The following is a 13,011-nucleotide window of genomic DNA, read 5'->3' on the forward strand; positions in this document are numbered from 1 at the left end:
TGGCCAGGCTGTTCTCAAACTCCTGACCTCAGGTGATCCGCTCACTTCGGCCTTCCAAAGTGCTGGGATTACAGGTGTGAGCCACCGAGCCCGGCCTCACAGATCTTTTTCAATAGAAGTTATACGGAGTGGACCTGCCTTTCTGGCCTCACCTTCCACCTATCAAATCCCAAAACTTCTGAATGTACTTTCTTTTGAAGCACATAAAGAACCTGTTCAAAATTGACTGACAATGGACCATAAACCAGCTCAATATATTTCAAAGAATTTAAATCATACAGCCGTGTACTCTGATTCTAATGCAATTTAAACTAGAAACCAGTAACAAAAAGAGAAATAGAAACTCCTCATGTGTCTGGAAATTAAAACATACTTTTCTGATGTGCCCATTGGTCAGGGAGAAAGATCAGAATGGAAATGAGAAAGTAATTCAAATTAAATGATTGTGAAATTACTAAACACAAAACTTAAAAATTTTGTACGTTGAAAATACTGGCTGGCAGGGCACAGTGACTCAGGCCTGTAATTCCAGCACTTTGGGATGCCGAGGCGGGAGGATTGCTTGAGCCCAGGACTTCAAGACCAGCCTGGGCACCATGGTGAAACCTCATCTCTACCAAAAATGCAAAAATTGACCAGGCGCAGTGGCTCACGTCTGTAATCTCAGCACTTTGGGAGGCCAAAGCGGGCAGATCACCTGAGGTCAGGAGTTCAAGACCAGCCTGACCAACATGGCAAACTCCTGTCTCTGCTAAAAAAATACAAAAATTAGTTGGGCGTGGTGGCAGGCGCCTGTAATCCCAGCTACTCGGGAGGCTGAGGCAGGGAAATTGCTTGAACCCAGGAGGCAGAGGTTACAGTGAGCTGAGATCACGCCACTGCACTCCAGCCTGGGTGACAGAATGAGACTCAGTCTCAAAAAAAAAAAAAAAAAAAAAAAAATTAGCTGGATTCGTGATGGCACATGCCTGTAGTCCCAGCTACTTGCGGGAGCTGAGGTGGGAGGATGGCTTGAGCCCAAGAGGTTGAAGTTGCAGTGAGCTGTTTGTACCACTGCACTCCAGCTTGAGTAACAAAGTGAGATCCTATCTCAAAAAAAAATAAAAAATTAAATTAAAAATTAAATATTTTAAAATATTAAAATTGGCCAGGTGCGGTGGCTCACACCTGTAATCCCAGCACTTTGGGAGGCTGAGGCTGGCAGATCACGAGGTCAGGAATTTGAGACCAGCCTGGCCAACATAGTGAAACCCTTACTAAGAATACAAAAATTAGCCGGGTGTGGTGGCGCATACCTGTAATCCCAGCTACTCAGGAGTCTGAGGCAGGAGAATCGCTTGAACCCGGGAAGTGGAGGTTGCAGTGAGCTGAGATCGTGCCGTTGCACTCCAGCCTGGGCGACAGGACGAGACTCCGGCTAATTTTTGTATTCTTAGTAGAGAGGGGGTTTTGTCATGTTGGCCAGGCTGGTCTCGAACTCCTGACCTCAGGTGATCCACCCACGTCAGCCTCCCAAAGTGCTGGGATTACAGGCATGAGCTACTACGCCAAACCCAGATCCAGTATTTTAAAAGGATAATCAACATAAATGAGTTTGGGATAATTTTAGGAATGCAAGATAGTATTACATGAAAATCAGATGTATTCATTAGTGCAACAAAGGAATGATAAAATAATGTAATTATCTTAGTGCGGAGAAAGCTGTAAAAAACATTCAAATCTATTCATGACCAAAATTCTTAGCAAAACAGGAATACAGAATTTCCTTAAGCTGTCAGAGTACCTACAGAAACTTTTCAGCCCACATCATACTTAGAAGTGAAATGGTAGCTGCGCACAGTGCCTCACACCTGTAATCCCAACACTTTTGGAGGCCGAGGTGGGCAGATCACTTGAGCTCAGGAGCTCAGGAGTTTGAGACCAGCCTGGGCAAGACGGTGAAACCCCATATGTACAAAAAATAAAAAAAATTAGCCAGGTGGTGGTGGTCCATGCCTGTAATTGCAGCTATGCAGGAGGCTGAGGTGGGAGGATCGCTTCAGCCCAAGAGGTTGAGGCTGCGGTCAGCCGAGATTGCACCACTGCACACCAGCCTGGGCAAGAGAGTGAGACCCTGTCTCAAAATAAATAAATAAGACTAAATAAATATGGAATTACAAGGAGCTCAGAATAGACAAGAGAGGCTAAGATTTTATTTTTTATTTTCAGACGGAGTCTTGATCTGTCGCCCAGTTTGGAGTGCAGTGGTGCTATCTCAGCTCACTGCAATCTCCACCTCCGGGGTTCAAGTGATTCTCCTACCTCAGCCTCCGGAGTAGCTGGGATTACAAGCGCCCAACACCATGCCCAGCTAATTTTTGTATTTTTAGTAGAGACGGGTTTCACTATGTTGGCCAAGTTGGTCTACAACTCTTGACCTCAGTGGTCCGCCGACCTCGGTCTCCCAGACTGCTGGGATTACAGGCTTGAGCCACCGCGCCTGGCCACTTTTTTTTTTTTATTTTTTGTTTTATCTGTATTTTTTTGAGACAGGGTCTCACTCTGTCGCCCAGACAGGAGTGCAGTGGTGCGATCATGGGTCACTGTAGCCTCGAATTCTTGGGCCCAAGCAATCCTCCCATCTCAGCCTCCAGTTGGGACGACAGATGTGAGTCGCCTGGCTAACTTTTTGAAATATTATTTTATAGGGAGTTGGGGGCTGGTGTCTCACTAGGTTGCCCAGTTTGGAATTTCTGGATTCAAGCGATCCTCCTGCCTCAGCCTCCCAAAACCTGGGAATGCAGGCATGAGGCTTAGCGCCCGGCCAATATTTGCTTTATCTTTCTAAATATACACAAGGATGTTAATCATAGCACCTAATAGGCCAAAATTGGAAACAATGGAAACAATCCCAAAAGCTATTATCAGCAGAATATATTCATTCTTTAGAATAGATCAGTGGTGGTGTATTCATACAATGGACTATTCCACAGAGATGAAAAATATATATGCAAAAACATAAATTGCATAAACCATATTGAGCAAAAGACAGACGCCAATACTCTATTTACATAAAGTGTTACATACACAGAGATAGATTAATACATGTAAATGATACAGATATGATAGCTAGGTCAGTCCACGGGGATCTGTGGACTTCTGAAGAGTCGTGATCCGTGTGACTTCTGAAGAGATGAGGGGGCATGGGAGGCTTTAGCGGAGCTTCCGCTATTCTGGCAAGGTTTCATTTTTGCCCGGGGAGCTATCAGCCAGCGGAGAGATCTGTAAGAAGAGATAAGACCTCAAGGGAAGTACGAGGCAGAGCCTTCCGCGGCCCGCGCCCTGGCGGCCCCAAGTCAGCGGCGGAGACAGCGCCCACCCCGCTCCAGCGTGGAGCAGGAGCAACGGCGTGGCCCGTGGAGCCCCGCCTCTCGCGGCAACCACAGAGAAGCCGGACTGGGCCACGTCTAGGAAGAGGTAGGAAAGGATCGGCGCATCATTTCTCCAATGGGAAAGGATGTGTTTGCGGACCAATAAGTCGCCAGTATAACACCCGCCCACGCGCCTGCCAAGCCAATCGGCTAGGAGCAGCGAGCGGCGCGGCTGAGGCGCGGCGGCCCCGTGGAGCAGCGCAGTATGGCGGGCGGGGCCCGGGAGGTGCTCACACTGCAGTTGGGACATTTTGCCGGTTTCGTGGGCGCGCACTGGTGGAACCAGCAGGTGAGGTCAGCCGGCAGCTGCCCCCGAGGAGCCCTTCGGGATCTACAGTCCCGACGTTCAGCCGGCCTGCCTCGTCCTCTCTGCTTCCCCAGGATGCTGCGCTGGGCCGAGCGACCGATTCCAAGGAGCCCCCGGGAGAGCTGTGCCCCGACGTCCTGTATCGTACGGGCCGGACGCTGCACGGCCAGGAGACCTACACGCCGCGACTCATCCTCATGGATCTGAAGGGTGAGGTGGTGGCAGAGTTAGCCGATGCCCCTTATTTCCCTTCCGCGTGCCTAGTCCTTGCGCTGCCGTTATCTTCAAGACCCTCCCACTTTACCGAGCTCCAGGACCGGAGATGAGGAGCTGAGCACAACATGCCAACACTCGAGGGGCCCACGACAGTTGCTCAAGAGCCATTTCGGGAATAGGCTGCTAGGCCCTGGAGACAGTGAGGACTTGAACTGCAGCACTCCTGTCAGACCCCTGGATGTGGTTCCCCCCGCGTCCCACAGCTAATGACTAAGCTGGGAACCGAAAGATGGAATCTAGATTCTCCTAAGCCAAGGTTTTTCCCCCAACTAGTGTATATCCCAGAAAGCTTGGAAGAGCCAAGTGCTGGAGAGATGGTGACAGCAGGTTGTCAGGTGATCAGAGGAAGGTTAGCTAGAGGGGAAGGGTGCCCAGGCTTTGACCTAACATTGTCTCTGTTATTTCTGTACAGGTAGTTTGAGCTCCCTAAAAGAGGAAGGTGGACTCTACAGGGACAAACAGTTGGATGCTGCAATAGCATGGTGTGTAACTGATGTATGGATAAGGGTGGGGATCGTGTATGTACGCAGAACGCTGGATAACTCTGATCAGAGTGCAGTTTCTTTGATCAATCTCCAAACTCTTTCAGGCAGGGGAAGCTCACCACACACAAAGAGGAACTCTATCCCAAGAACCCTTATCTCCAAGACTTTCTGAGTGCAGAGGTGAGGGCCTCTGTCCTGAACTTTTTAACCCGGTGCCACAACCTGAGGGTCTCCATAGGGGCAGGTAAACGGGGATTTTAATCATTTTAAATGTCTTAGAATGATATTTTGGGAAAAAGCACTCCTTTTCCTAAGGACTGCGACTCGGTGAACAGAAAGGAGGCTATGCGGTGTGGCCAGCCAACTCAAGGAGGATGAAGCAACCTTTGCCTCTAAACTGCCTGGAACTAAATGTCGATTTTTCTGACCCCTCCCAGGGAGTGCTGAGTAGTGATGGTGTCTGGAGGGTCAAATCCATTCCCAATGGCAAAGGTGAGACTTCTCCAGATACTGATGGATGGGGGCTTGGGTAGAGCAGAAACATGGAGAAAGGTACATTTCCTCTGCTTGTCTTCAGGTTCCTCACCACTCCCCACCGCTACAACTCCAAAACCACTTATCCCTACAGAGGCCAGCATCAGGGTCTGGTCAGACTTCCTCAGAGTCCATCTCCATCCCCGGAGCATCTGTATGATTCAGAAGTACAACCACGATGGGTATGGGGACCCCAGAGGCTTTGAGGCAAGAAACATGGGTCCCCACCAATGCAGGATGAGGCTCTTGAGGCCATCTTCCCTGCCCTTCCCCAGGACAAGAGGCTGAGGAGTTGAGGGAAGAGATGTAAGTCTTGGATCGTGTTTACTTGTGGCAGGGAAGCAGGTCGGCTGGAGGCTTTTGGCCAAGGGGAAAGTGTCCTAAAGGAACCCAAGTACCAGGAAGAGCTGGAGGACAGGCTGCATTTCTACGTGGAGGAATGTGACTACTTGCAGGTAGTGGCGTGGCAATGTGCACTCCAGGGTGGAAGCTCTTCTCATCCTGCTAACTATCTTTCGTCACTCACCCCCGCCCAGGGCTTCCAGATCCTGTGTGACCTGCACGATGGCTTCTCTGGGGTAGGCGCGAAGGCGGCAGAGCTGCTACAAGATGAATATTCAGGGCGGGGAATAATAACTTGGGGCCTGCTACCTGGTCCCTACCATCGTGGGGTGAGTGGAACTTGGAGGAGTAAACATTCGAATCCCATTGGGAGAGTGGCTTAATGCAAACTGGTTTTTTTCTTTACGAGGAGGCCCAGAGAAACATCTATCGTCTATTAAACACAGCTTTTGGTCTCGTGCACCTGACTGCTCACAGCTCTCGTCTGCCCCTTGTCCTTGGGTGGGAGCCTGGGCCTGCGACCTGAGCCACCTGTCAACTTCCCTTACCTGCATTATGATGTAAGTCTCGGTGCTCTTGTTCTGACTGCGGCAGGCTACAGGGCCTCCTCATGCTCCCAGTCAGTCGCTGTCTGTACTGGCTCTGTTCCTGAGGCCCGAGCTTGAACTCAGCTGTGATGTGGCCTCTCAGATCACACTGTCCTATGCTTGTCCAGCCTGGGGTCAAACATACCCCTGATTCATCCCCTGGGTCTCTCTGGTGTTAACATTCTGCCTCCACACATTCTTTTCCAGGCCCGAGGCCAAGTGCCCCTCTTGGTGTCTTCTTACAGGCCATTCTGCCCTTCCACTGCAGTGCCATCCTGGCTACAGCCCTGGACACAGTCACTGTTCCTTATCGCCTGTGTTCCTCTCCAGTTTCCATGGTTCATCTGGCTGACATGCTGAGCTTCTGTGGGAAAAAGGTATGAAGCTTTGTGAGGGGTTGGGTCAGTGCTGAGAAAATGTCCTATAACGTGTTCTCTTCCTTCTCTTTAAGTGGTGACAGCAGGAGCAATCATCCCTTTCCCCTTGGCTCCAGGCCAGTCCCTTCCTGATTCCCTGATGCAGTTTGGAGGAGCCACCCCATGGACCCCACTGTCTGCATGTGGGGAGCCTTCTGGAACACGTTGCTTTGCCCAGTCAGTGGTGCTGAGGGTATAGACAGAGCATGCCACACAAGGTGAGAGCTGTTGGTCCTTAGGAGTCCTTGTCAGATTTTTGTTTCATGTCCTTTTCCCCCTAATTTCTCGGGCATTCTAATGATGTTGTTCCCTCCCCACCCCTTAAAAAGGATAAAAAGAAGGGCTTTGAATATCTTGATCCAGCTGATGGCCTGATAACATAAAAATTCTTAAGTTTCTTGGGCTAGGCATGGTGGCTGACGCCTGTAATCCCAGCACTTTGGGAGGCTGAGGTGGGCAGATCACCTGAGGCCAGGAATTCGAGACCAGCCTGACCAACATGGTGAACCCCATCTCTACTAAAAACATAAAATTAGCCAGGCATGGTGGCACATGCCTGCAATCCCAGCTACTTGGGAGGATGAGGCAGAAGAATTGTTTGAACCTGGGAGGTGGAGGTTGCAGTGAGCCGAGATCACACCATTGCACTCCAGTCTGGGCAACAAGAGCAAAACTCTGTCTCAAAAAGAAAAAGAATTCTTAGTTTGTTATTCATGCTGCCACAGACTAATGGTGGTTTTGGCTTTGTTATGGCAGCCAGCTCACCCCAGGGACACCTCCACCCTCTGCCCTTCATGCATGTACCACTGGGGAAGAAATCTTGGCTCAGTATTTACAACAGCAGCAGCCTGGAGTCATGAGGTCAGTGTAACGGTTGCTCCTGCCCTTCTTGCCAACCGCAACCCTCCCTTGACTTCTTACGCACTTAATGGCTGTTCTCTGCCCCCACAGTTCTTCCCATCTGCTGCTGACTCCCTGCAGGGTGGCTCCTCCTTACCCCCACCTCTTCTCAAGCTGCAGTCCACCGGGTATGGTTCTGGATGGTTCCCCCAAGGGAGCAGGTATGTAGGAGGTGAAGAAAACTGAGATTTCAAGTATGGGAGAGGTTTTACTATCTCCATTCCTGGATTAAAAGTGCTGAAAAAGTCCACAGTTAAACATTCCTTTATTCACCCTATGGCTCCCAAGAAAAGCATTCTTCCTCTGGAGTACTGGTGTACTAAGGGGACAATACACCAAATTTGTTGAGTTTACAATCAAGTCTACTAAGGTTGGACTTCCTTATCAGTTTGGCGAGTCCCAGGGCAGAATAATCATCCATCTACAGGTCTCTGTTTCCTCTCCCTCCACAGCAGTGGAGAGCATCCCAGTGTTTGGGGCACTGTGTTCCTCTTCGTCCCTGCACCAGACCCTGGAAGCCTTGGCCAGAGACCTCACCAAACTCGACTTGCGGCGCTGGGCCAGCTTCATGGATGCTGGAGTGGAGCACGATGACGTAGCAGAGCTGCTGCAGGAGCTACAAAGCCTGGCCCAGTGCTACCAGGGTGGTGACAGCCTCGTGGACTAAAGTTCCCAGTGTGGGAGAAAGGAGCTAGTTTGCAATAAAAACAGCTGGATGCAGGAGCCCAGTGTCTTCATGCAGAGGAGCTCAATGTCGCGGGACTAGCTACACCAACATATGCACTTTTTACATTTAGAAACACTGTGATTAGACCACAGAACAATAAATATGTGCCATCAGACCAAAAAAAAGTAGAGAAAGGAGCTGAACTCCACTCTCGATGCTATTTACAGAGGACATCTGTAAAGTCTTCATAAAAGACCTTGAATGATGCCTAGGATGGCAGAGCCCCTGGGTCCTACTCCATCCTCCAGCCTTTGTCCTTGTCCTGGCCTCCTGCTCTCCAGATCTGTAAACTGGGCTCAAGGACTGTACAAGCAGAGTACAACTACCCCCTCCCCGGTGCCAGGGCGCCTGTTGGGTTTGGTCCTGTGTAGATGATTCCCAGAGTCTCATTCATCCAGCTCCTCTTCAGACAGAAGGTCCCCATGGTCAGACAGCTGGTCTGCATTGCTGGTACTGGTTGCATCATCCTCATCCTCAGAGCTGGCTTCACAGGCAGTGTGGAAGAGCTGCATGAGTTCTCGAAAACGGTGGGAAACCTAAGAAAGGAGGAGGGCTGTATTCACTGGTCTTTTTTTTTTGTTTTTGAGACGGAGTCTCTCTCTGTTGCTGAGACTGGAGTGCAGTGGCACTGTGTCAGCTTACTGCAACCTCCGTCTCCTGGGTTCAAGCAATTCTCCTGCCTCAGCCTTCAGAGTAGCTGGGATTACAGGTGCCCACCACCACACCTGACTAGTTTTTATATTTTTAGTAGAGATGGGGTTTCACCATGTTGGCCAGGCTGGTCTCAAATTCCTGACCTCAGGTGATCCACCCACCTCGGCCTCCCAAAGTGTTGGGATTACAGGAATGAACCACTGCGCCCAGCCTCACTGATGCTTTGTAACAATGTTAACATTTATGAAGCACAATATACTGATTTGAAAAATCTCTTGTTTATTCCTCACAGCAAGGTTGGGAGAGCTATGTCATTATAGATAAGGAAACTCAAGAGGCTAAATGTTTTGCCCAAAGTCACACAACTCCTAAAAACAAAACTGGAATGGAAACTGGGGCTTCCACTTTAAAATCCTGGCCGGGCGCAGTATCTCACCTATTCCCAGCACTTTGGGAGGCTGAGGCAGGTGGATAACCTGAGGTCAGGAGTTCAAGACTAGCCTTGCCAACATGGTGAAACCCCGTGTCTACTAAAAATAAATAAATTAGCCTGGCATGGTGGTGGGTGCCTGTAATCCCAGCTACTTTGGGAGAGGCTGAGGCAGGACAATCACTTGAACCTGGGAGGTGGAGGTTGTAGTGAGCTGAGATTGTGCCACTGCACTCCAGCCTAGGCGACAAGTGAAACTGCGTCTAAAATACATAAATAAATAAAAATTTAAAAATCCTCAAAATCTAGTGTCCTTTCTCTTCTAGAACCACTACCACCCTGATGAGTCAAGCCTTTCCTTAGATCAAACCTTTACAAAAACCACTTATTATCTTGGATATCAAAACTCCTTCTTTGGCCTTTCTGTCTGTTAGTTGGCCACCTTGACCTCTTTTTGCCAGGTCTTCACCCCAACCCGCACCTACCTCAGCAGGGGTCTTATTTCCCAGCTGCTGGGAGATGATGTTGAAGGTCTGTGGCTGTGCCCCTTGCTCCTGGCACATGGTGAGGATCACACGGTCAGCTTCCCTGTAACCCAGGTATCATGATTAACCCTAGGGAGCCACATGGATGTGGTCTATGCTCTTTTCCAAACACACGTCATCCACCCTTACCTACCTTGTCCACAGGACAACCTTTTCCCCAGTGGAGCTGACCTTGCTGTTGTTGGCACACACCGTAGCTTCTGCGGCCTTTGGCTGCTGCTCCCCCTCTGGACCCTTGGCCTGTGTTCCACTGTCTTTAGCCAAACCCCCTCTAGGGGCTTTGGGAGAAGTCTCTGAGGTGTCAATTCCTGATGGAGATTCATGGACAGGGCACGTCCTGTCTCTTGTCTTCACCCGAGCTCTGCTTGAGGGCAGCCATCTCTCTTGAGTGTCTGGTTTCCCGGACACATGTCTTCTCCCTGCATCTCTGGTCTTTGAGGAAACAGGACTCAGGAAGGAAGCAGGGGGTTCCACGGTACCAGGCAATTTCTCAGTTTCTGATGCATCCCAGACCAGCATCAAAGCCTCTGACTCACTCACTGCCTTTTGGCCCTCCCTCTCTTTCTGAAGTCTGGGGGATGCCTTGGGGCAGGAGCGAACCTCAGGCCCAACCTGGTTTCTCTTAACAGTGTACAGTACAGCTCCAGTTGTGGGGGGAAATTGAGGAGTCTCTGGTGAATGAGGTGGTGGGCCATCCAGGAGGAGCCGTTCTGTAACAGTCACTTCTCGAGGGGATGGCAAAGTGCTCCCCACTGCCAATCCTGCTTAGGAGGAAAATAAGGATCTCAGGGTACTGTCAGGTTCAAGATGCACCTAAGCACGAGAAATTACCTGTGGCCAGGTACTGTGCAAAAATTCTAATAAAAAAGAGGGCTGGGCATGGTGGCTCACACCTATAATGTCCGCACTTTGGGAAGCCAAAGTGGTGGGACTGCCAGGGGTTTGAGACTAGCCTGGGCAATATGGTGAGACTCCATCTCTACAAGAAAATATAAATAATAAAAGAGTTGGGTGGAGGTGGGGGGCATAATGTCACTTATGCAAAGATATAAAGTCCTACTGCCAAAGCTGAGAACGGCCCAGTCTTTAGGATGTAGATTACACTAGATTTGGAGACAGGGGGAAGGGTTTTTGGAATAAAACACAAGACAATGTTGAATTGCATGAAATTTGTGGCATTCTTAATTCTGCAAGAGGAGTGAGGCCATATGATAGAAAAAGCCTGAACAGCAGAAGGGCTTCCTATGGGTCCATCAGTGAAAGAGGTGGTATATCCATCCCTGAAAAGGCTATTTATCCAGGCTCATGGAGGTTCCTGTCTGGAGTACAGGATAACGAGACTGAGGAACAGAAGGGCTGCGTTGGCAAATCACTCACCTGAAACAGGCATCTCTCCCTTTCTGGTGGTCCTGACAGTCCTGCTCTGGGTGGCCTCAGTGCTCTCCCGCTCCTCTGGGGCTTCCTCTTCCATCATATCCTTGCCCTGCCCAGCTTCCTTAGCACCAGGCATAGGACTAGCCTCTCGGTGGGGGCTGCTGCCCACCAACTCATGGGGCTCCTTGCTCTTGTAGGATTTGCTGTCACAGACCTGCAGGGATGGTCTTCCGGGTCAAAGGTGTTCTGACTGCCTATGTCTTTGGTTGGGGCCCACCAAAGGAAGAAGCCCTGCCTGATGCTCATCAAGTCAACCCACATGCATGTCTGCTCCAACAATTTTGTTGACAGAGTTTCAACTGGGTGCAGTGGTACATGCCTATAAACCTAGTTACTTGGGAGGCTAAGGTGTGAGCATCACTTGAGCCTAAGGGTTCAAGATCAGCCTGGGTAACATAGTGAGACTCTGTCTCAAATGACAAACAAAAAGAAAAGATAGACAGAGACAGGGTCTCAGATGACACAGATTATCTTGCCCAGGCTGGAGTGCAGTGGCTGTTTACACAGGCATGACCATGGTGGTACACTATAGCCTCAGACTCCTGGGCTCAAGTGATCCTCCCACCTGAGCCTCCTGAGTGCCCTGTTGCCCAGCTATTCCTCCAAGGATTTGATTTTTTTTTTTTTTAAACACGGTCTCACTCTGTCACCCAGGCTGGAGCTCAGTGGTATCATCATGGCTCACTGCAACCTCTGCCTCCCTGCTCCAAGGATTTTAAATGGCCCCGAATAGAGTATTGGATTCCACAACTCCTTCTCTCACCAAGAACTGTGTTTTTCCTGCCAACCAACTCCATTCTAGAGAACCAGGATTACTTGTAGAGACTATTTTCACGACAGAGGTTTATTTCATTTTCTAATATCTGAGGGAAATATTTTAACTGGTATTTTGTTTTTCCAATTCCAAAAGCTTTACTCACAGAATTCTCTTTAAAAAACAAAATCTATCACGTATTTCTAGCAGATTCCATTTATTTTGCATATGTACACATATGTGTATACTGAATGTTATTTATATATGTGCCTTTTTAGGAATTCAGTAAGGTACAATTCTTGGTAGCAAACAATCCCCCAGCAGCTCTGATACCCTCGGGACCCTTGATACTTTCCTCACCTTGCTGCTACAGTGGCTACAGCTCCGCCTTTTGCTCTTCTTCAGCTTGGAATCTGGACCTCCTTCATGGCAGGAGCAGGCACAGTCCTTGGCCCCATCTGGCCATTCAGTCTCCTAGGAGATACTTGGGCTTGATTAGCTGCCAAGTTGTTTTTTTTTTTTTTTTTTTTTTTGAGACAGAGTCTCGCTCTGTGGCCCAGGCTGGGTTGCAGTGGCACGATGTCAGCTCACCGCAACCTCTGCCTCCCAGGTTCAAGGGATTCTCCTGCCTCAGGCTCCTGAGTAACTGGGATTACAGGTATGCGCCACCACACCCAGCTAATTTTTGTATTTTTAGTAGAGACAGGGTTTCACCATGTTGGTCAGGCTGGTCTCGAACTCCTGACCTCTTGATCTGCCCTCCCTCAGCGTCCCAAAGTGCTAGGATTACAGGCATGAGCCACTGTGCCTGGCCGTATTTTTGGTACCAAGAGAGGAAGCTAAAGTTGTGAGCCATATGAACACAACACAGCCCACCCTCTCCCCATGCTTTTTTTTTTTTTTTTTTTTTGAGATAAGGTCTGGCTCTGTCACCCAGGCTAGAGTGCAGTGTCACATTCATGGCTCACTGCAACCTCTGCCTCCTGGGCTCAAGTGATTTTCCCACCTCAGCCTCCCAAGTAGCTGGGACTGCGCACCACCACGCCTAGCTAATTTTTTTTTTTTTTTTTTTTTGAGATGGAGTCTCGCTCTTTCTCCCAGGCTGGAGTGCAGTGGCGTGATCTCAGCTTAGCGCAACTTCCACTCCCCGGGATCAAGCGATTCCCATGTCTCAGCCTCCCAAGTAGCTGGGATTACAGGCGCATGCCAC

The 13,011-nt window shown here is 49.6% G+C and overlaps 1 protein-coding gene and 1 pseudogene across 19 annotated transcripts in view, besides 1 other annotated feature; one reads left to right on the top strand and one right to left on the bottom strand.

Moving 5' to 3' along the window:
- Nucleotides 1-2,898: 2,898 nt before the first annotated feature.
- GON4L (gon-4 like) overlaps nt 2,899-13,011 on the bottom strand; it is a 114,320-nt gene continuing 104,207 nt past the window's right edge. For 12 of the 18 annotated variants that reach the window (XM_047423299.1, XM_006711394.5, XM_047423284.1 and 9 more), the window contains 6 exons: nt 12,162-12,275; nt 10,991-11,201; nt 9,747-10,374; nt 9,554-9,656; nt 7,355-8,520; nt 2,899-6,305 (listed from right to left, as the gene is read on the bottom strand). In XM_047423299.1, coding sequence (XP_047279255.1) covers nt 8,371-8,520; nt 9,554-9,656; nt 9,747-10,374; nt 10,991-11,201; nt 12,162-12,275 — 1,206 coding nt within the window. In that variant the 3' untranslated portion in view covers nt 2,899-6,305; nt 7,355-8,370. Of the gene's footprint in view, nt 8,521-9,553; nt 9,657-9,746; nt 10,378-10,990; nt 11,202-12,161; nt 12,276-13,011 lie in introns of all 18 variants that reach the window. The other 6 variants (XM_006711393.4, XM_047423291.1, NM_001282856.2 and 3 more) reach the window with 4 other exon arrangements.
- Nucleotides 3,097-3,296: an enhancer, noted in NCBI's record as "active region_1819". NCBI's record gives its function as "activates an Ori minimal core promoter by ATAC-STARR-seq in GM12878 lymphoblastoid cells {active_cell/tissue: GM12878}" and the evidence as "EXISTENCE:reporter gene assay evidence [ECO:0000049][PMID:35858748]".
- On the top strand, nt 3,555-8,475 carry MSTO2P (misato family member 2, pseudogene; annotated as a pseudogene). The gene is made up of 13 exons (NR_024117.2): nt 3,555-3,699; nt 3,792-3,927; nt 4,406-4,475; nt 4,583-4,722; nt 4,916-4,970; nt 5,056-5,194; nt 5,350-5,467; nt 5,549-5,683; nt 6,187-6,318; nt 6,393-6,575; nt 7,114-7,218; nt 7,309-7,418; nt 7,713-8,475. The product of NR_024117.2 is annotated as a misato family member 2, pseudogene (transcript).

This window comes from Homo sapiens, chromosome 1, assembly GCF_000001405.40.
Source record: "Homo sapiens chromosome 1, GRCh38.p14 Primary Assembly".
Classification (NCBI taxonomy): Eukaryota; Metazoa; Chordata; class Mammalia; order Primates; family Hominidae; genus Homo; species Homo sapiens.